Raw genomic sequence first — 23454 nt, 5'->3', positions numbered from 1 at the left:
AAAAGGAAAAAAAAAAATTAGCCGGGTGTGATGCTGCATGCCTGTAATCCCAGCTACTTGGGAAGCTGAGGCAGGAGAATTGCTTGAACCTGGGAGGTGAAGGTTGCAGTGAGCCGAGATCGTGCCACTGCACTCCAGCCTGGGCAACAGAGCAAGACTCCATTTCCAAAAAAAAAAAAAAAAAAAAAGGATTTGACTGCTTTTGCTCCCTAGAAATTCATATGTTGAAGCCTTAACCTCTCATATGATGAAATTAGGAGGTGGGGACTTTGGAAGATAATTAGGTTTAGATAAGATCATGAAGGTAGAAACCCCATAATCGGATTAGAGACACTAGACACTTACAAGAAGAGTTACTAGAGAGCTTTCTCTCTCTCTTTCTCTCTCTCTGTCTGTCTCTCTTTCTCTTTCTCCCCCTACCATGTGAGGATACAATCAGAAGACAGCCATGTGCAAACCAGGAAGGGGGTCTTAACTAGACACTGGATCTGCCAGAGCCTTAATCTTGGACTTCCCAGCTTCCAGCACTCTAAGAAATAAGTTTGTTGTTTTAGCCACTCAGCCTCTGGCGTATTTGATATAGCAGTCCAAACCAACTAAGACAGGCACTTTGATTGAACATGAAATCCAGAGTTAAAGATATTCTGTGGTTTACAAACCTTGCCTTTGAGGAGAAATCTCAATCTCTTTCTCCATTCCCTTCCCTTTTCTTCTCCCACCCATTCTCTATAAGGCAACCCTAAGTGTCTCTACTTGCAAGTAGAGTTTCTAGCTTCTAGAAAACTCAGCCATCTCATAAGCCAGCCGCACAAGCCTGGCTCTGTAGGGAGGTAGGAGGATGCTGACCGTCTGAGAGTCTCAGCTTTTCCTGCAGCCTTGTGGATCTACAAATACAAAACCCCACCCAAAGGCATCTGGTCCTCAGGTGCTGTTTCTGTTCTCCCTGCAGAGCTGGGTTTATTTTTGTGGAAATCTAAATCATATGTTTCTATTTCATTTACATTACATTCAAAGCAATGTTGTTTCCTTGCAGCCTTTTGAAGTTATGGGAGCCTTGTGGATGGTTCTGCAAATGTTTACTTTTGAGCCTTCATTCTCAAATGAACTCTAGAAATGTCCCTGTTTCTTTTCCTCACAACCAGTGGCCCTGGAAGAGAAGACACTGGAGTCTAGTGCTTTAGGACCTAGGTGTTGGGGCCTGGGGACTTCACTCTTCAGTGTGGATGAGCTTCTGTCGTTTCCTTCAGTCTTTTTCCTGTCCTCACTATTAGTGGGTTCCTGGGAACTTGTGTGACGATGTTTAGGTGTTGTTTTTTTTTTTCCTTCTGGGATGGTTCTGGTCTAAGCTTCTCATCCTAGGGAACGCTCTCCTCCTGAAAATAAAAATGTGACCACCTGCTCCAGACAATTGCTGGAGTTGATCCATAAGGTTAACAGTGAACTGGGGTTCTGTACCACATTAGTGGGTGGACCATTTGACCATGTGGGTTATCTGCAAAATTTCCTACAAAGCTACAGTAATCAAAACAGCGTGGTGACTGTCTTCTAGTCTATTCAATGGAATAGAATTAAGATTTTAGAAATAAACCCTTTACTTACAGTCAATTGGCTTTTGACAAGGATTCCAACAAAGTTCAATGGAGAAATAATAGTGGTTTCAACAAATAGTGTTGGGACAACTGGATAGACATAAGCAAAAGAAGACTGTTGGACCCCTACCTCACATTATATACAAAAATTACCCCCAAATGTATCAAAGACCTAAATATAAGAGCTAACTATAAGACATTTGCAAAAGAAGACCTAAATATAAGACACAAATATTAGAGCTAAATATAAGACACGTAGAAGACACATGCATAGAAGATACATGCAGCCTTTCCGCGCTACCCACAGAGGAGTCCATTTGGCATTGTTCTGGATTCCCATCATAACTTAAAGGGAAACTTTCACAATGTCCAGAGCCCTTGATGTCCTGCAAATGAAGGAGGAGGATGTCCTTAAGTTCCTTGGAGCAGGAACCCACTTAGGTGACACTAACCTTGACTTCCAAATGGAACAGCACATCTATAAAAGGAAAAGTGATGGCATCTACATCATAAATCTGAAGAGGACCTGGGAGAAGCTTCTGCTGGCAGTTCATGCCGTTGTTGCCATTGAAAACCCTGCTGATGTCAGTGTCATGTCCTCCAGGTATACTGGCCAGAGGGCCCTGCTGAAGTTTGCTGCTGCCACTGGAGCCACTCTAATTGCTGGCCACTTCACCCCTGGAACCTTCACTAACCAGATCCAGGCAGCCTTCTGGGAGCCATGACTTCTTGTGGTTACTGACCCCAGAGCTGACTGCCAGCCTCTCGCAGAGTAATCCTATGTTAACCTTCCCATCATTGCTCTGTGTCACACAGATTCCCCTCTGTTCTATGTGGACATAGCCTTTCCATGCAACAGTAAGGGAGCTCACACAGTGGGTTTGATGTGGTGTATGCTGGCCTGGGAAGTTTTGTGCATGTGTGGTACCATTTCCTGTAAACACCCGTGACAGGTCATGCCTGATCTCTACTTGTACAGACATCCTGAAGAGATTAAAAAAGAAGAGCAGATGCTGCTGAAAAGGCTGTGACCAAGGAGGAATTTCAGGGCAAATCGACTGCTCCAGCACCTGAGTTCACTGCTACTTAGCCTGAGGTTGCAGACTGGTCTGAAGGTGTGCAGATACCCTCTGTGCCTATTCAGCAGTTCCCTACTGAAGACTGGAGTGCTCGGCCCCACCACAGAAGACTGATCTGTGGCTCCCACTGCTCAGGCCACTGAATGGTTAGGAGCAACCACTGAATGGTCTTAAGCTGTTCTTGTACTGGCTCTTAAGCAACGTGGACACAAGTCTGATGGAAAATAAACATCAATCTCTTAAGAAAAAAAGATACATGCCAAAGAAGACCTAAATATAAGACACAAATATAAGACCTAAATATAAGACACATGTAAAAGACGGCCATTGGACCCCTACCTCACACTGTATACCAAAATTAACCCCCAAATATATCAAAGATCTAAATATGAGAGCTAAGACAATACAATCTTAGAAGAAAACATAGGAGTAAGTCTTCATGACCTTGGATTAGGCAATGGTTTCTGAGATATGACACCCAAAAGATAAGCAATAAAATAAAAAATAGATGAATTGGAATTTATCAAAATTAAAAACTTTCATGCTTCAAAAGGCTCCATCAAGAAATTAAAAAGACAACCTATGGGATAAGAGAAAATATTTGCAAATTATATATCTGATAAGAGACTTATATCTAGAATATATAGAGAACTCTGGCAACTTAACAATAAAAAGATCAATTTAAAAATGGGCAAAGGATTTGACTGGATATTTATCCAAAGAAGACATATAAATGGCCAAGAATTACATGACAAGATTCTCAATATTAGTCATTAGGGAAATGCAAATCGAAACAGCAGAGAGTACAACTTTACAGCCATTAGGATGGCTGTAATAAATAAAAGACAGATAAATAACAAATGTTGACAAGGATGCAGGGAACAACCCAATAGCCATCAACTGATATATGGAAAAGCAGCATGGAATATATCTATACAATGGAATATTGTTTGGCAATGAAAAGGGATGAAGTACAGATGTAGGCTACAATAGGTAACAACCTTGAAAACATTATGCTAAGTGAAAGAAGCCATTCACAAATGCCACATATCATGTGATTTCATTTTTATAAAATGTACAAAATTGGCAAACCTATAGGGATAGAAAATCGAATAGTATTTATTAGGGATTGTGTGGGAGGAAGGAATGGGGAATGACTGCTAATAGGTGTGAGGTTTCTTTTTAGAGTAATGAAAATATTCTGGAATTAGTAGTGATGTTTGCACAATTTTGTGACTACACTAACAAATCACTGAATTGTACACTTAGAAAATAAATCCATAAAAAAGTATGTTCCTTTATATTCCCTATTTAATAAATGGATTAATTAATTCAAGATGGATTAAAGACTTAAATGTCAGACCTAAAACCATAAAAACCCTAGAAGAAAACCTAGGCAATACCATTCAGGACATAGGCATGGGCGAGGACTTCATGTCTAAAACACCAAAAGCAATGGCAACAAAAGCCAAAATAGACAAATGGGATCTAATTAAACTAAAGAGTTTCTGCACAGCAAAAGAAACTACCATCAGAGTGAACAGGCAACCTACAGAATGGGAGAAAATTTTTGCAATCTACCCATCTGACAAAGGGCTAATATCCAGAATCTACAGAGAACTTAAACAAATTTAAAAGATAAACCAAACAACCCCAACAAAAAGTGGGTGAAGGATATGAACAGACACTTCTCAAAAGAAGACATTTATGCAGCCAATAGACACATGAAAAAATGCTCATCATCACTGGCCATCAGAGAAATGCAAATCAAAACCACAATGAGATACCATCTCACACCAGTTAGAATGGTGATCATTAAAAAGTCAGGAAACAACAGATGCTGGAGAGGATGTGGAGAAATAGGAACACTTTTACACAGTTGGTGGGAGTGTAAATTAGTTCAACCATTGTGGAAGACAGTGTGGCTATTCCTCAAGGATCTAGAACTAGAAATACCATTTGACCCAGCCATCCCATTACTGGGTATATACCCAAAGGATTATAAATCATGCTGCTATAAAGACACATGCAAACGTATGTTTATAGCGGCACTATTCACAATAGCAAAGACTTGGAACCAACCCAAATGTCCATCAATGATAGACTGGATTAAAAAAAATGTGGCACATATACACCATGGAATACTATGCAGCCATAAAAAAGGATGAGTTCATGTCCTTTGTAGGGACATGGATGAAGCTGGAAACCATCATTCTCAGCAAACTATTACAAGGACAGAAAACAAAACACCGCATGTTCTCACTCATGGGTGGGAATTGAACAATGAGAACACTTGAACACGGGGCGGGGAACGTCACACACTGGCGCCTGTCATGGGGTGGGGGCCTGGGGGAGGGATAGCATTGGGAGAAATACCTAATGTAAATGATGAATTAATGGGTGCAGCAAACCAACATGGCACGCGTATACCTACGTAACAAACCTGCACATTGTGCACTTGTACCCTAGAACTTAAAGTATAAAAATAAAAAATAAATTAAAAAAAAATATGTTCCTTTGAAATTATTAGATATTCTACAGGGAGGGGAAAGGTGATAAAAGCAGCATTTTTCAATGAATTCTAGGTCCTCTGGATTACTTTGGTTCTTCAAATGTTTGCCTGGGAACTTCTAGAATTTAAGACAATGGTGTCTGGTAGAATGTTGAGGGATCCATTCTGTTCGTTATAATTTTCTTATGTTTCTAAAATAACCCTTCAGCTAATTGATGAATTGGAGCTGATAAAGCCCTACAACTTTTAAAATTTACTTTAAAAAGACCAAAAATAGGCCAGGCATGGTGACTCACACCTGTAATCCTGGCACATTGGAAGGCTGAGGCAGGCGGATAACCTGAGGTCAGGAGTTCGAGACCAGCCTGGCCAACATGGTAAAACCCTGTCTCTACTAAAAATACAGAAATTAGCCAGGTGTGGTGGTGCATGCCTGTAATCCCAGCTACTCTGGAGCCCGAGGCAGGAGAATCACTTGAACACGGGAGGCGGAGGTTGCAGTGAGCCAAGATCGTGCCACTGCACTCCAGCCTGGGTGACAGAGTGAGATTCCTTCTCAAAGGAAAAAAAAAATTACCAAAAAACATATGTCTTTTTACTGGAAACAGGAGTACCAGTTGGAAGGGGTTCTGGCACCATCAGGGAATCACCTACCTACTTGATAACTATGAAATGGGTGGCAGGAATCATCTAGTCTAGCTCTTTCATTTTGCAGAAAAGGAAATCGAAGCCCAAAGAGGTTGTGACTTGCCTGAGGTCACCAACTGGTTGGAGAAAGTGGCCCAACTCAGGCCCAGATCTCTTTCCTTCTAGGGGAAGGCATTCCCCCAACACATTTTCTCTGTGGGGTACCCAGTCCGTCAGGGCCCAGTGAGGAAAAGAGCCCACACCATGGCATTTAACAGCAGAATCTAACACAGAGAACTGGAGACAACAGCATAAGAAGAGCTGAACAGCCTAAAGGCCATGGTAAAGCAACCCAAAGATCAATAACAGCGGGAAGCAGCTCCCACCCTTTGGATGAGAGGGACGGAAGACAGAGATGGTGTGAGGGGAGCCCAGGAGCCAAGGCCACCTGGCAGGAGGAGGAACCACAGTGGAGACACAGCCACTGTTGGGAGTGCTGCCCGAAGCAGAGAGAGAGGAACATAAATACCCTGGCTTTTCCTTTCTCTCCCCCTCGAATCCCCTAGTGCCTCCCATTGGCCTTACCTGGCAGGAAGGCCGTACGCAAGGGAGCATGGGAAATGTCTGCTATGGGAGGAACAGGATGAGGCTGAGAGCAAGTTGGCAAATGACCGGCGTGTGTTCCCTGGAACAAATGGCTAGCCCATTTGTATCTTTTACTCTCCGCAAAATATTTATGTTCGTTGAAAGAACATGAATGGATTTCATTTCGATTCTCAAGATGAAAAAAATCATTAAAGGCAAAGTATTAGTTATGTTGTATTAGGACACTTACAAACCCATTTCCAGCTTAATGTAAAAATGTTTATCTCTTCCCCGAGGACAGGCCAATGAAGTAGGTCAGGATTCTTATTTTAGAGGCAAGAAAATAGGGCCAGGAGAGAATGCGTCCCTGGCTGGAACTCTGACTCCCGAACCCAGGCCTGAGTGTGTGTTATTTGGGCAGGCTTAGTCCAGTGAACTGAAAATCAGTGAGCCTCGGATCCTGCTCTAAGCCTATGGTCTGACAGCTGAAGCCCTGTCTGGCTGTGAAGGCACATCCCCTCCTACCACTAGCTAAGTGCATTTGATGGGCTGATAATAGGAGCAGCCCTAGACGTGGAGAAGGCCTGAACTCTAGTCTTAGTTCTGCGCCAGTAAAATCTCAGGACTGTCCTATCATCTCTTTGAGTATCTTGTTTCCTCATCTATAGAACTGGGAATAAAAATTTACTCTTCCCACCTCTCAAGGTCGTTGAGAGTCAAAAATGATCATGGCTATACTACGTGAAGAGGCACACTCAAAGCCAAGTTAGCATTCCTAATATTGTTGTTCATCAACTGCAATGAACAGAACCAGCATTGCCACAAAAGGCTGTACTACTTCTCCATGTCTGGCATAACCTATTTCACAAAGGCCAGGCAGATTATAAATAGAGATACATTTCTTCTTTGGAAGTGTGGAGAGAAAACCAATTAGATTTGGATGTCAGCCTCATCTGGAAGATGGTCTCATCTTCAGTTGGTTGGTGCATTCTTCCTACTGCTCACCTAACTCATGCTGTTATTGACTCTGCTGTGAGGTCAGAGATTCAAATTCCTTCCTTCCTTCCTTCCTCTCTCTCTCTCTGTCCTTCCTTCGTTTCCCTCCCTCCCTCCCTTTCCTTCCTTCCTTCTCTCCCTCCCTCCTTTTCTTCCTTCCTTCCTTTCTTCCTTCTCTCCCTCCCTCCCTCTCTTTCTTTCTTTCTTTCCTCTTTCTTTCTTCCTTTCCTTTCTTTCCTTTCTTTCTTTTCTTTCCCTCCCTCCCTTCCTTCCTTCCTTCCTTTCTTGAGTCTCGCTCTGTTGCTCAGGATGGATTGCCAAAGTTGGAGTGCAGTGGTGCAATCTTGGCTCACTGCAACCTCCGCCTCCCAGGTTTCAGCTATTCTGCTGCCTCAGCCTCCTGAGTAGCTGGGACTACAGGTGCGTGCCACCACATTCAGCTAATTTTTGTATTTTTAGTAGAGACAGGGTTTCACCATGTTGGCCAGGCTGGTCTCGAACTCCTGACCTCAAGTGATCTGCCCGCCTTGGCCTCCCAAAGTGTTAGGATTACAGGCGTGAGCCACCATGCCTGGTGAGATTCAATATATTTCTTCTCCTGGACCCCCAGGAACCAAGAACCAAAACATGATCTTTTGTTAGCTAAAAACTTTCCTCCAAATTCATAAAACCCCTATTCCAGAAGCTTTCTCTGGGCTGTAAGCAGAATCTCCATCATCATTAAAAAATGGTACAGTGGTGCATTCCAGTTGTTCAGCTGTCTGTTTCTGAGATAGTTGAGAGGGTGTGGTGGTTAATATTAGGTGTCGACTTGATTGGATTCAGGAATGCCTAGATGGCTGGCGAAGCATTGCTCTTGGGTGTCTGGGAGGGGGTTGCCAGAGGAGACTGACATTTGAGTCTGTCGACTGGGAGAAGCAGACCCACCCTTGATATCTGTGGACACCATCCAACTGGCTGGCAGTGTGGCTAGAACAAAGCAGGCGGAAGATTGGGGAGAAGCAGCTTGCTGAGTCTCTCGCACTCTCTCTCTTTTCCTGGGCCCAGATGTTTGCTTCCCCTCCTCTTGCCCTTGGACATCAGACTCCAGGTTCTTCAGCCTTTGGACTCTGGGTCTTGCTCCAGTGGCCTCCCAGGGGCTCTCAGACTTAGGGCTGCACTGTCCGCTTCCCTGGTGTTGAGGTTCTTGGACCTGGACTGAGCCATGCTACTGGCTTCTCTCTTTCCCCAGCTTGCTGATGCCTACTGGGAGACCTCACCTTGCAATCCTGTGAGCCAGTTCTCCCTAGTACACTCCCTTTTACACACACACCGATCTGATTGGTTCTGTCCCTCTAGAGAGCCCTGACTGATACAGAGGGGCTTTGGCTGGGCTTTCTGAGCTTTTGTTTGGGCCTAAGCCAGGACTTCAGAACAAACCACGTGCTCACTACCTTACCCAAAGGCATCTCAATATTAATAAGAATAACTCTGCTTTGTCGGGTGGTTGCCATGTACAAGTCACTTTAATTTTTAATTTTTAATTTTTATTTTTGAGACAGAGTCTCACTGTCCCCCAGGCTGGAGTGCAGTGGCGCTATCTCGGCTCCCTGCAACCTCTGCCTCACGGATTCCAGGGATTCTCTTGCCTCAGCCTCCCGAGTAGCTGGGATTACAGGTGCTCGCCACCACATGCAGATTATTTTTGTATTTTTAGTAGAGACGGGGTTTCACCATGTTGGCCAGGTTGGTCTCAAACTCCTGACCTCAGGTGATCAACCTGTCTCGTCCTCCCAAAGTTCTGGGATTACAGGCATAAGCCACTGTGCCTGGCGCAAGTCATTTAAAATAGTTGACTCTCAACAAGTCTCTGCACAGTGGCAATATCATCCACATTTTACAGATGTGGAAACCGAGAGATTAAATGATGTGCTTGAGGAGGAGCCAAGATTCAAACCTGTGATCGCTTGACATCATATCAAGTACTCTCCCCAGCCTACCCTATCACTCCTTGGCACCATGGTGGCCATTTCCTTACTGTTACTTTTGTCCAGCTCACTGTCTATGAGGCAGATATAGGAACTCACTTCTCACAAGTAGCCTGTGATGGAAGTATCAGTGTGTTACTTCTGAAAAGCATGATGACCTTCTCCTTGCACCCTCTCTTGGGTTACTTGCTCTGGGGGAAGCCAGCTGCCATGTCATGAGGACACTCAAGCAGCCCTGTGGAGAGGCCCACATGGCAAGGCACTGGGCCTCCTGCCAACAGCCGGTGAGCAGCTGCCCTGTGAGGGAGTCATCTTAGAAATGGATCCCGCAACCCAGTGGAGCCTTCAGATGACCATGGTCCTGGCCAACATCTTGGCCACAACCTCAGGATAGGCCCGAAGCTAGAACCACCCAACTAAGGGCTGAGTGACCTAATGAAGGTTTATGGTTGTTTTAAGCCAATATATTAGGACTCTCCAGATAAGTAGATATATTTCACAAAAGCCAGGTAGATTATAAATGAGATTCTCTTCTTCTATGGAAGGGTGGATGGAAAACCAATAGGGCTTCTATATACCCTGGATGCCAGTCTCATCAGGAATATCTGTAGAAGTATATATTCTATATATCTATTTCTCTGGAGACTCCTATGTCTATATAAATGTAGATTTATAAGGAGGGATTTATTATGGAAATTGGCTCACGTGATTGTGGAGGCCAAGAAATACCACAATCTGTACCTGCAGGCTGGAGAACCAGGGAAGATGGTGTAATTTGGTCAGAGTACAAAGGCCTGAGAATCATGGAAGCCAATGGTGTGACCCCCATTCCAAGGCCAAGGGCTTGAGAACCACCAGGAGGTTGGGAGGCACTTGTGTCAATCCTGGAGTACAAAGGCTGGGGAACAAGGAGTGCTGATGTCCAAGGGCAGGAGAAGATGGATGTCCTAGCTCAAGAAGAGCGAGTCAATTCCCCCTTCCTCCACCTTTCTGTTCTATTCACGCCCTCAATAGATTGAATGGTGCCCACCTATGCTGGGGAGGACAGGTCTTCTTTAGTTAGTCTCCTAATTAACATGCTAATCTCTTCACAGACATGGCCAGAAATCATGTTTCACCAACTATCTGGGCATCTCTTAGCCTAGTCAACTTGACACAAGAAATTAACCATCACAGCCACTGCGTTTTGGGGTGATCTATTATATAATGATAGATAACTAATACAAACTCTTAAGTTGATCTAATTTTCTTATATTTTTCTATCTTACTAATCTTTCTGTGTATTTTTGTTTTCTATCCTGTAAGATTCCTTTGATTCTATATCTTCAGCCTCTTAATTTCAGTGATCGTATTTTTAATTTCCAAAGAAAGTTTCTTTCTTGAGCTCTGATTTCTTTTTTTCACATCATCTGTCCTTGTTTGAGGAATCTTCTCCTTCCTCTCAGAAGATGCCAATGAGTTTTTGATATTTCCCCCACTCTTTGTATTCTCTGATTTTTTGAGTTACTTGTTTCCTTTTCTGTCTTGTGTTGGAAGCTATCTTTGAGTATCGGCTGATCACTACTTGTCCATTTATATTTGGAAGAAAGGGGGTTGGAGACTTTGTGTGGCCTGGACTTTGCCCATTAGTGACTTCACTACAGGACCATGGGCGGACCACCTGCTTCTTATGTCAACATCCAAATATTAATATTTGGTGGTCTCTTGCTGGTCTGTGAAGAAGAGTCCTCTAGTCTCCTGCCTTGAGGATAAACCTGGCTATATATATGTAAATGTAGTGGGTATAAAAATTTAATGCCACACTACTCAGATGAACCAAAAAATATAATTTGTCTTCCATCATTGATCTAATCTGTCTTCTCTGGCCTCTGTCGCTATTTTGAGAAGAAAATAAATATTCTTTCAGTTTTTTCCAAGTGAAGTCATCCCTTTTAGGGCAGTTTCTTTGGAAGAGTGCTCAGTTTTTCAGGTTTCCTCTCCCTCCCTCAGCTCCTCCCTAAGATTGAGTCTGGATGTATAAGGGAGCGGTGGTGTTGATTAAAGTCTTCGGGTAGGTGTGCTGCCATCTGTACCCTCGTTGCCTGCTAATGAAGGGTGCAGGTCTGGATTTGTCCTGGGCCTGCTGTCTACTGAGGTGTGGCAGCATCTTAGGGCCTTTTGAGCCTGTCAGTGACTCCTGCTGCCGGCTCTCCTGGTTCCAGCCATTTGCATCTTATTTTCAAGTTCCGGTGCACCATCATCCCTGCGTCCTGAGCCAAGGCCTCTGCCAGTCCACCAAACCTCTGTGCCCATGCAGAGGCACAGGGGGACTTGTAAAGTCCCTGAGCTAACAGAGGCTGTAGGGGTCCAGGGACATGGCCTTGGGGGCCTCCACCCAGCCCCCTCCTACCAGCAATGCTACTCCAACCCTAGGTTGGATGAGGCTGTATAAGAACCTTCTCCTAGATTTTGTTGTTGTTGTTTTTAACTTTTATTTTAGGCTCAGGGGTAAATACACAGGTTTGTTATATAGGTGAATTGTGTGTCACAGGGCTTTGGTATACAGATTATTATGTCATCTAGGGAATAAGTCTAGTACCCGATAGGCAGTTTTTTTTATCCTCACCTTCCTCCCACCCTCCACTCTCAAGTAGGCCCTGGTATCTCTTTTTCCCTTCTCTGTGTCCATATGTACTCAGTGTTTAGCTCTGACTTGTAAGTAAGAACATGCAGTATTTGGTTTTCTATTTCTGTGTTAATTCACCTGGAATAATGACCTCCAACTCCATCCATGTTGCTGCAAAGAACATGATCTTATTCTTTATTATGGCTGCATAATATCCATGGTGTATATGTACCACATTTTCCTAATCCAGCCTACTCTTGATGGGCATTTAGGCTTATTTCATGTCTTTGCTATTGTGAATAGCGCTGCAATGAACATACATGTACATATGTCTGTTTTTTTCAAGGTTGACATGTGGCTTTGTTTCAAATGACATCAAATTATGATTTTCTTCTCCTGGATGTTTGCAGGAGCTGACAAGCTAGGAAACCATGAACCCTGATGTTTTCCTTCCTCTCAATTCACTTAACACTGTCTGTTCCAGAATTTTGGTGCACAATAGGGAAAAGAGAACTCCAGTGTCTATTTCTCCCTCAGCTCAGTTTTCCGCTGTTTCCCCCTCTTCCAGAAATGGCAAGAGATTCGTGCCAGTTCTTCCTGCTCAAAGACTGTCCCTGGGTCACAGATTGCTCCATGTCTTGATGACATTCCCTCTCCTTGAATCTTGGGCTATAATGGTGAATGGTTACAGGGAACTTTGTGTCTGAGGTGTAGTCACTTGTCAAATATTTTCAGAATGTTTTCTATGTAACATTATCCATGCTGTGATATGAACGTTCTCGATAAAGCTTTACTGGCATTTATGGAATTGCTGGGTCAAGGGTGACGAACAGTATGGAGGCTTTTGATGCATATTGTCCATTGTTGAGGGAGGTAACATAATAACCCATTATCCTCCATTACAGCAATGTGGTTTACTTAATCTGATTAGCCAGAGAGAGGGAGGATTTGAGTGTGATTCTAAACCTGTACAGTACAGCAAATCGTATCAGCGAGTTCAGTCCTGGGAAAGGGGAGGGGAGGAGCAGGGTCACCCTGAAGGCTCAGTAACCAAGGACTGGGCTGCAGCAGAAGCTTGCAGTGTAGGAAGAGGGTCCAGGAAGGAACCAAAAAGCCCTAAAGTGAAAAGTGGGCACACTTTTAGTCTCAGTCACCATCAAGGAAATTGCTAGAAACTAGAGCCCAAGGCAAATATGAATTTTGGACTCGTGTTCTAAAACAAGGCCCTTCCTGGGTAGTTCCAAGAAAAGGAAATTTAAGAAACAAAGAAATGAAAAACAACAACACTTCTCATCTGAACCTCTGACCATGTTATGTTGTTTTTTAAAACCTCTTCCCAGCAATGGTTTGTAACTCATTAAGGCTTAGAATTACTGCATCAAAGCTCTTGGCTTCTATTCATTTATCCCAACTTCTTCTTCTTTTTTTTTTGTTTTTTGGTGGGAGTCAGGGCAGGGGACTGGAATCACATTCTATCCCCCAGGCTGGAGTGCAGTGACGCGATCTGGGCTCACTGCAACCTCTGCCTCCCGGGTTCAAACGATTCTCCTGCCTCAGCCTCCCTAGTAGCGGGGGTTACAAGCGCCCATCACCACAGCTGGCTAATTTTTTTTGTATTTTTAGTAGAGACAGGGTTTCACCATGTTGGCCAGGCTGGTCTTGAACTGCCAACCTCAAATGATCCACCCGCCTCAGCCTCCCAAAGTGTTGGGATTACAGGCTTGAGCCACGCACCCGGCCCCAACTTCTTTTTAAACATTTTTTTTTAATTTTTTAATTTTTGTGAGTATAAAGTAGATGTATATATTTATGAGATACATAAGATATTTTAGTACAGGCACGCAATGGGTAATAATCACATCATGGAAAATTGAATATCCTAAGTTCTGTACCTTCGAAAACTATCAATAAATCTGTGTATTTTTAACTGATGCTGACTGCTTAGGGTTGAAAGTCCTGTCTTCTTCACTTTGTAACCTTGGGAGATTTCTTGCTCTTTGGCAAGAACCTGTAGGTTTAAGCCTTAGACTACTACAGGGAAACCCACATGTAGCACTGCACACTCATTAAAGTCTTGCGTCACTTAACAACAGGGATACATCTTGAGGCCGGGCGCGGTGGCGCACACCTGTAATCCCAGCACTTTGGGAGGCCAAGGTGGGCGGATTACTTGAGGTCAGGAGTTTGAGACCAGCCTGGCCAACATGGTGAAACCCTGTCTCTACTAAAAATACAAACATTAGCTGGGTGTAGTGGCAGGTGCCTGTGATACCAGCTACTCATGAGGCTGAGGCAGGAGAATCACTTGAACCTGGGAGGCGGAGGTTGCAGTGAGCTGAGATCACACCACTGCACCCCAGCCTGCGCGACAGAACGAGACTCTGTCTCAAAAGATAAAAACTAAAAAAAGCAGGGATACATTTTTGGAAATGCCTCATTAGGCAATTTCATCATTACGTGAACATCATAGGACTGTGCTTACACACACCTAGATGGTCTAGGCTACTACACAGCTAGGCTAGGCGGTATAGCCTACTGCTCCTAGGCTACCTGTGTAGCATGTGACTGTACTGGATACTGTAGGCAATTGTAACACGATGGTAAGTATTTGTGTATCTAAACGTAAGAAAAGGTACAGTAAAAATACAGTATGAAATAAAAAATGATACACCTGTCCAGGCACTCACCATGAATGGAGCTTGCAGGACTGGAAGTTGCCCTGGGTGAGTCAATCAGTGAGTGGTGAGTGAATCTAAAGGCCTAGGACATTACTGCATACTACTGTAGCCTTTATAAATGCTGTACACTTAGACTACACTGTTTATTAAAAAAATTTTATGGCCGGGCACAGTGGCTCACGCCTGTAATCCCAGCACTTTGGGAGGCCAAGGTGGGTGGATCACAAGGTCAGGAGTTTGAGGCCAGCCTGGCTGATATGGTGAAACCCCATCTCTACTAAAAAAATACAAAAGGTAACCAGACGTGGTGGTAGGCCTGTAGTCCCAGCTACTTGGGAGGCTGAGGCAGGAGAATCACTTGAACCTTTGAGGCAGAGGTTGCAGTGAGCTGAGATCTCGCCACTGCACTCTAGTCTGGGTGACAGAGCAATACTCCATCTCAAAAAAAAAATTATTTCTTTAATAATAAATTAATCTTAGCTTACCATAAATTTTTACCTTATAAACCTTTTACTTTTTCAACTTCTTTACTGTTTTATAACAACACTTAGCTTAAAATACAAACACATTGTTCAGCTCTATAAAAATATTTTTTCTTTCTTTATATCCATACTCTATAATCTTGTTTCTTTTTAAAAAAATTTATTTTTTACTTTTTGAACTTTTTTTGTTAAGAGTGAAGAAACAAGCACACACATTATGAGCCCAGGCCAACACAGGGTTAGGATCATCAGGATGTCACCAGGCAATAGGAATTTTTCAGTTTGATTATACTCTTATGGGACCACTGTTGTGAATGGCATCCATTATTGACCAAAATGTCATTATGCAATAAATAACTGTAAATCAGAATCTCTGGGGTAGGGCCTAAGCATTGGTATTTTTAAACATTTTGTGTGTGTGTGTGTGTGTGTGTGTGTGTGTGTGTGTGTGTGTGTGTATTTTTAGAGACAGGCAAAAAAATATGTATATATGTTTTTTATCCCATGCTGGAGTATAGTGGTGCAATCGTAGCTCACAGTAGCCTCAACCTCCTGGGCTCAAGCAATCCTCCTGCCTCAGCTTGGCTGTTTTTCTTTTCATTTTTTGTAGAGATGGAGTCTGACTATGTTACATTTTTTAATGAATAGACTTTATTATTTTTTAGTAGTTTTAGGTTTACAAGAAAATCTAGCAGAAAGTAGAGAGTTCCTACCTACCTGTTCTCCTAGTTTCCCCTGTTATTAACGTCTGATATTAGTGTGATACATTTGAAGTAATTACTGAGTCAGTACAGATACATTATTAGAAACTAAGGTTTATTGTTTACATTGGGGTCACTCTTGGTACTGTACATTCAGTGGGTTTGGACAAATGTCTAACTATATGTATCTACCATTATAGTATCATACAGAATACTTTCACTGTCCTGAAAATCTCCTGTGCTCTGTTTTATTCTTTTCTCTCTCCTCCCCCCTATATCCCAGGCAACTGCTATCTTTTTACTGTCTCCATAGTTTTGCGCTTTTCAGAATGTCGTATATTTGGAATCATATAGTATATAGTCTTTTCAGATTGGCTTATTTCACTTAGCAATATGCATTTAATGTTTCTCCATGTCTTTTCACGGGTTGATTGTGCACTTCTTTTTATCACTGAATAATATCCCATTGTCTGGATGTACCACAGTTTGTTTTGCCATTCACCTATTGAAGGATATCTTGGTTGCTTCTAAATTTTAGTGATGATATGATTTGGCTGTGTCCCCACCCAAATCTCATCTTGAATTGTAACTCTCACAATTGCCACATGTTGTGGGAAGAACCACGTGGGAGGTAATTGAATCATGGGGGCAGGTCTTTCCCATGCTGTTCTTGTGATAGTGAATAAGTCTCACAAGATCTGATGGTTATAAAAACTGGAGTTTCCCTACATAAGCTCTCTCTCTTTGCCTGCTGCCATCCATGTAAGATATGACTTACTCCTCCTTCCTTTCTGCCATGATTGTGAGGCTTGCCCAGCCACGTGGAACTGTAAGTTCATTAAACGTCTTTCTTTTGTAAATTGCCCAGTCTCGAGTATGTCTTTATTGGCAGCCTGAAAATGGACTAATACAAGCCATTGTGAATAAAACTTCCATAAACATACCTGTGCAGTTTTCTTTGTGTGGACATACGTTTCCAGTCATTTGGGTAAATACCTATGAGTGCAATTGCGAATCATATGGTAAGAGTATGTTTAGCTTTGTGAGAAACTACCAAACTGTCTTCCAAAGTGGCTGCACCATTTTGTATTTCACCAGTAAAGAATGAGAGTTCCCACTGCTCCACATCCTGGCCAGCATTTGTTGTTATCAGTGTCTTGGAATTCAGCATTTCTAATAGGTATGCAGTGGTATCTCATTGTTTTAATCTGCAATTCCCTAATGACATCTATATTGAGCATCTTTTCATATGCTAATTTTCCATTGTTTTAATCTGCAATTCCCTAATGACATCTATATTGAGCATCTTTTCATATGCTAATTTTCCATCTGTATATTTTCTTTGGTGAAGTGTATGTTCAGATCTTTTGCTCATTTTTAAGTTGGGTTGTTTGTTTTCTTATTGTTGAGTTTGAAACGTTCTTTCTTTGCATATTTGGGGTACCAATCCTTTATCAGCTATGTGCTCTGCAAATATTTTCTCCTAGTCTTGTCTTTTCATTATCTTAATGGTGACTTTTGCGGATCAGAAATTTTTAACTTTAATGAAGTCCAACTTATCAATTTTTTTTTTCTTTAGACATACCACTGGGTTAAGATCCCATGCTCAAATTAAAGAGTAAATATGGCCTGGCTGCACATTCACTTTACCACTGGTCTCAAGGCGTTTCCCTGGGAAATTCATTTCCCTGGATCCTGAGTAGGAAATACCCTGTCATGTCTTCACTGCAGATGACTGTCTGAAAGCACACATAGTCATGAGAAAGGGAACTGGCCAGGGTGATCTGGGGTTCAGTCCTCCTAAGGTGGGCCAGGTGCGGTGGCTCATGCCTGTAATCTCAGCACTTAGAGAGGCCCCAGCAGGTGGATCACCTAAGGTCAGGAGTTTGAGACCAGCCTGGCTAACATGGCAAAACCCCATCTCTAATAAAAATTAAAAAAAAATTAGCCAGGTGTGGTGCCAGGCACCTGTAATCCCAGCTACCAGGGAGGCTGAGAAAGGAGAATCTCTTGAACCTGGGAGGCGGAGTTTTCAGTGAGCCGAGATTGTGCCACTTCACTATAGCCTGGGCAACAGAGTGAGACCCTATCTTAAAAAAAAAAAGACAGTCCTCCTAAGGTGAAGAGAATGGACAGGGCTGGAAATGGAAAGGAGAGGGTGGAGACAGAGCTCTGGGTTGGACATAATTGTTAGGACAATTTGGGGCTGAAGGCAGGGCCAGTCCTAGCTATTTTAACACATGCTGTGCCTTCCACAGCCTGGTCTGAATTTGTATTTTTCTTTTTTTTCCCTCATAAGCTTGGTGTCTCCTTCACAAGCTGGGATTCATTGAAAGATTCATGACTTCTTTTTAAATTACTTAAAAAAGATTCCAAGACATGTGCACATTTCACTAGTATGATGAAGTGGGAGTTGGGAGCCATGTTTATGGATGGGAAAAGCAAAGCGATTTTAACAGAATGAAGAATGCAAAAGAAAACAAGAATACATACTTGGGCCCTCCCACTGAAGGCAGCCATGTGGCTCCTTAATCTATCCCAGACGTCACAGCTTTCAGCAGAGAGTGGGGAATCTGTCCCATGAGACCAGCATGCCCTGTGAGTTACAATAAATGCCCACAGTGATCACAAAGTGGGAGAAGGGCCTTTTCTTCTGCAGTCATGGATTCACCTCTCGTCAGTCTCGGGGCATCCTGCTGGGTGATCCTGATTCTTTTTGTCCTTGTGCCTCAGCTCCTATTAGAGATCTCAGGGAGATACCTGGGAACGCAAACTTCTCTGAGCTGCTGGAGTGATGATGCAGTCCCTCTTTGTGTGTCTTTGAGAATGTCATTGTGGGAACGCAATTGGTGGGTAGTTGAAAGAAGGTTATGACAGCCCCTGAACTCACTTAGGAGGTGGCACTGATTGAATCAGAGCTAGACCACTTAAAATCATCTTTCCACAATTTTCTTTTGTTGGGGTGGTGATAAAATACACATAACGTGAAATTTACCACTGTAACCATTTTTTTGTTTTGTTTTGTTGTTTTGTTTTTTTGTTGTTGTTGTTTTGTTTTTTTCTGAGACAGAGTCTTGCTCTGTCGCCCAGGCTGGAGTACAGTGGCACGATCTCGGCTCACTGCAACCTCCGCCTTCCCGGGTTCAAGCAATTCTCCTTCCTCAAACTCCTGAGTAGCTGGGACTACAGGCGCGTGCCACCACACTCTGCTAATTTTTCTATTTTTAGTAGATACGGGGTTTCACCGTGTTAGCCAGGGTGGTCTCGATCTCCTGACCTCGTGATCTGCCTGCCTCAGCCTCCCAAAGTGCTGGGATTCCAGGCGTGAGACACGGCATCTGGCCACCATTTTTTAAGTGTATAGTTGGGTGCATCATCCAAAAGACCACCACGATGGCTGAAGAGTAGAAGGGACAGTTTTATTGGCAATATCAATTGGCAAACCAGGAAAAGATAGTCTCCAGCATGGACTAAAGCTGCTCACTCTTTGAAGAGGGGAAGGGCAGGTTGGATTTTATGCCTTACAATGTCTATATTACACAATAGTCATACATATTCAGCAGATTTGGGGAAAAGCTATATATATTTATAAGGATGAGGTCAAGTGCATATGCAATAGGTAAACATACATGTAACATACATCCCAGTTCACTTTGGGGTGAAGTTTTAGCATTAAAATGAGGCAGATATCCCAACACTTTGGGAGGCTAAGGTGGGAGGATCCCTTGAGGCCAGGAGTTCAAGACCAGCCTGGGCAACATAGTGGGACCTTATCTCTACAAAAAAATTTAAAATTAGCCAGGCATGGTGGTGTGTTCTGGTAGTGCCAGCTACTTGGGGGGCTGAGGCAAGAGGGATACTTTAGCTGTCTTAAAAAAAAAACAATTTGGAGTTTGAGGCTGCAATGAGTTATGATTGCACCACGGTACTCCCACCTGGGTGACAGAGTGAGACCCTGTCTCTTAAAATAAAATAGAACAAGGTGGTATATATCAAAAGGTTAAGCATAGGACACAAAGACAGTTTGTGCACAGCCTCCATGAGCTGCTGAAACTGGCTTAAGGTCTGCAGTTGCTTATCAGGAAAGAATGTTTATCAGGCCAATCCTCTGTTCAACAGAGTTGTAGTGGTCTGGGTTGTAAATCAGAATTAGGAAGGGTATGTTAATTTGCCTGATAGCTCCTATTGTATAGGAGTTTAGCAAGAGTGCGGTTTTTCTTGTAAGCCATAGGAATTTAGAAATTTGCCCTGCCGGTTGGGTCCTGAAACCTTGATCTGTAGGTAACTTCTGTTGCCTTAACGTTAGAGTTTCTCTTAGTTGACAAAAGGGCATCTGTTTTGGCCTCTCAGATCACAAGTGGCATCAAATACGTTTACATTGTTGTGCAGTCATCACCACCCTCCATCTCCAGAACTCTTTCGTCTTGCAAAAAACTGAATCTCTGTACCCACTAAACAACTTCCCCTTTTCTTCTCCACCTAGCCCTTGGCAACCATCATTCTGCTTGTTCTCTCTATGCATTTGACTACTCTAGGGACCTTGTAGGAGTGGAACCATATATAGTATTTGTCTTTCTGTGGCTAGCTTATTTCTTTGATTATAATGTCTTCAAGATCCAGTTATGTTGTGGTGTGTGTCAGAATTCCCTTCCTTTTTCAAGCTGAATCACATTCCATTGTATGGCTAGACCACACTTTGTTTATCCATTTTTCTATCAGGGAAAATTTGGGTTGTTCACACCTTTGGCTATTGTAGACAATGCTGCTAGGAGCATGGGTGTGCAAATATCCATTCTAGACTCTGCTTTTAATTCTTTTGGGTCAATATGCAGAAGTCTAATTGCTGGCTCATAGGGTAGTTGTATGTGTAATTATTTTTTAGGAATGAGTACTGTTTTCTATAGCACCTGCACCATTACAGTTCCCCCAGCAGTGTACAAGGGTTCCAGTTTCTCTACATTCTCATCACTGCTTATTATTTTCTTTTTTTTAAATAGTGGTCATTCTAATGGGTGTGAAAGTCGTATCTCATTGTGGTTTTGATTTACATTTCCCTAATGATTAGTGATGTGGTGCAGCAATCCATGAGCTTATTGGCATTTGTGTATCTTCTTTGGAGAAATGTTTATTCAAGTCCTTTGTCTATTTTTTTTTTTTTTTTTTTTGTGACAGGGTCTCACTCCATTGCTCAGTCTGGAGTACAGTGGCGCCATCTTGGCTCGCGGCAAGCTCTGCCTCCCGGGTTCAAGTGATTCTCCTGCCTTAGCTTCCCAAGTAACTGGGATTACAGTTGCCCACCACCATGCTTAGTTAATTTTTGTATTTTTAGTAGAGATGGGGTTTCATCATGTTGGCCAGGCTGGTCTCAAACTTCTGATCTCAAATAATCTACCCGCCTTGGCCTCCCAAAATGCTGGGATTACAGGCATGAGCCACCACACCTGGCCCTTTTGCCTATTTTGAATTAGATTGTTTGTTTTGTTCTTATCGAGTTGTAGGCATTCTTTATATATTCTGTATATTAATCCCATATCAGATCCATTATTTACAAATATTTTTGCTCATTGTATGTGTTATACTATTTTGATTTCACCTTAGATTCAGTTAAATATGCAGTTTAATTTTTAACCATCTTGAACTTTGAAGGCTGCCCAGTCTTGGCTGGGCGTCCCCTCTGTATAATTTGTAGATTTTGTCAGAGACCTGTCTCTGGGTAGACCCACCTTTTTGAAGATAGGCTACAACCACACAATATTTTTGGGGTAAACAGTTGGAAACTGTTTGTTATTGGATTCTTCTGTGACACTTAGCATTTTGTTGGCTATTAGTTAAAACCTGATCCTGTGTGTTTGGATGACTCATTTATTGTATTTATTTGATACATACTAACACACACACACACACACACACACACACACAGAGCAATTTACCTAAACCTTTACAATTAGCCTCTTTGATAATTTACAAATTTAGGAGAAAATAAAGTGATCGGATTTCTCCTAAGCCTTAAAATCTCTAAGGGCATTTAACATTCTTCAGTGATGTACAGGTAGACCACCTGGATGTACTGTCAGAGCATAGAAGGTGGCTCCTACCATCTGTAGAATGGGAACCATGATTGCTGTTTCTCTCAAAAGGTTTGTGCAAAACCCACAAGGTTCACTTAATACCCACTGGGAGGAGAACCCAGTTTTCTGTCCAAACATTTTAGCATTTTTCTCTTTCTTTTCCTCTCCCCCTTTAAAAATGTTTGCTCTTAAATCATCACGCCTGGTTCTCTACTCAAGCCCTTCAGTCGCTGCAGAACCTGGGGAGAAACAGAAATTGCAGTTTATTATGATCAGCTGCTCATAAATGGCAACCTTAAAAAAATCGAGACAGCATTTATCAAGTCCTGATGTAAGTGTGAAAACTGGAAGCTTTTCCTGACTGATTGCTAAAGCAGAATTGGATACCACATTTTGTTATAATTCAAAGAAGACTTAAAATGAGTCAGTGTCATTCTTGAAAGATTTGTTTTTATTTTGTGTGTTTTTCAAACTTAAGAAGACCTGGGCTGGGCGCAGTGGCTCACGCCTGTAATCCTAGCACTTTGGGAGGCCGAGGCAGGTGTATCACTTGAGGCCAGGAGTTCGAGACCAGCCTGGCCAACATGGTGAAACCCTGTCTCTACTAAAGATACAAAAATTAGCAGGGGTGATGACGCACGCCTGTAGTCCCAGCTACTTGGGAGGCTGAGGCACCAGAATTGCTTGAACCCAGAGGCGGAGGTTGCAGTGAGCCGGGATCACAAGATCATGCCACTGCCCTCCAGCCTGGGGGACAGAGAGAGACTCTGTCTCAGAAAAAAAAAAAAAAAAAGAAGAAGAAGGAAAAGGAAACAAACTTAGGAAGACTTTGTAGGAGCAAAGGGAAATCTTGTGAAATCTTTCCCTTTGCCCTTGGAGGGTTCATTGAAAAATCAACTGACAAAGGCTGATGATTAGGAGAAAAGGCAAATTCATTAGCACGCACATGGGGAGAGCCACAGTGATGATCCCATATCCCATTGGGGCCCAACCTTTGTGGCCTTACCTCAGAGGGGAGGGAGAGATGGGGAATATAGGTACTTTGGTTGAGGGGCAATACCTGATTACCTGGGAGAATGAATGGGTGGGGGAATAGAGATTAACTTGTAAATAGTTCTTTTTGGAAACTGAATGAGCCTGAGAGATAAACATGATTTTGTAATAGGGTCGATCAGGTCCGGTGACATTCTTGGTCTTTTTTACTGCAATAGATAATGAGACAACAGGGAGAGGAAGGAAAAACAATTCTTGGTGGGTCTGTCTGGTCTTTCTGTAGGTAGGGGAGAAGCCTCTTCCAGTGTCTGTTGATCTTTGAGGGCAAAATACTCATTTTAAAAGGAAGCCATGTTTTGGGGTGGACTTCGCTGTACTCCTTCAACCCAAAACTTATTCTGCTATGGGAGAGCTTATCTTCCTGTTGCAAAGCACCAAATGCATGGCTGTCTACTAAATTTTTAAAATAATACACTTTGGCCAGGTGCAGCAGCTCATGCCTGTAATCCCAACACTTTGGGAGGCCAAAGTGGGTGGATCACCTGAGGTCAGGAGTTTGAGAACAGCCTGGC

The 23454-nt window shown here is 42.8% G+C and overlaps 1 protein-coding gene and 1 pseudogene across 2 annotated transcripts in view; both read left to right on the top strand.

Annotated features, from left to right (window-relative positions):
• FAM107B (family with sequence similarity 107 member B) overlaps positions 1 to 23454 on the top strand; it is a 256341-nt gene that overhangs the window by 48888 nt on the left and 183999 nt on the right. The window lies entirely within an intron of this gene.
• RPSAP7 (ribosomal protein SA pseudogene 7) lies at positions 1879 to 2911 on the top strand (annotated as a pseudogene).

This window comes from Homo sapiens, chromosome 10 (assembly GCF_000001405.40).
Source record: "Homo sapiens chromosome 10, GRCh38.p14 Primary Assembly".
NCBI lineage: Eukaryota > Metazoa > Chordata > Mammalia > Primates > Hominidae > Homo > Homo sapiens.
Note: the sequence above shows the minus strand (reverse complement) of the source record. Positions and strands in the feature narration are given on the sequence as shown.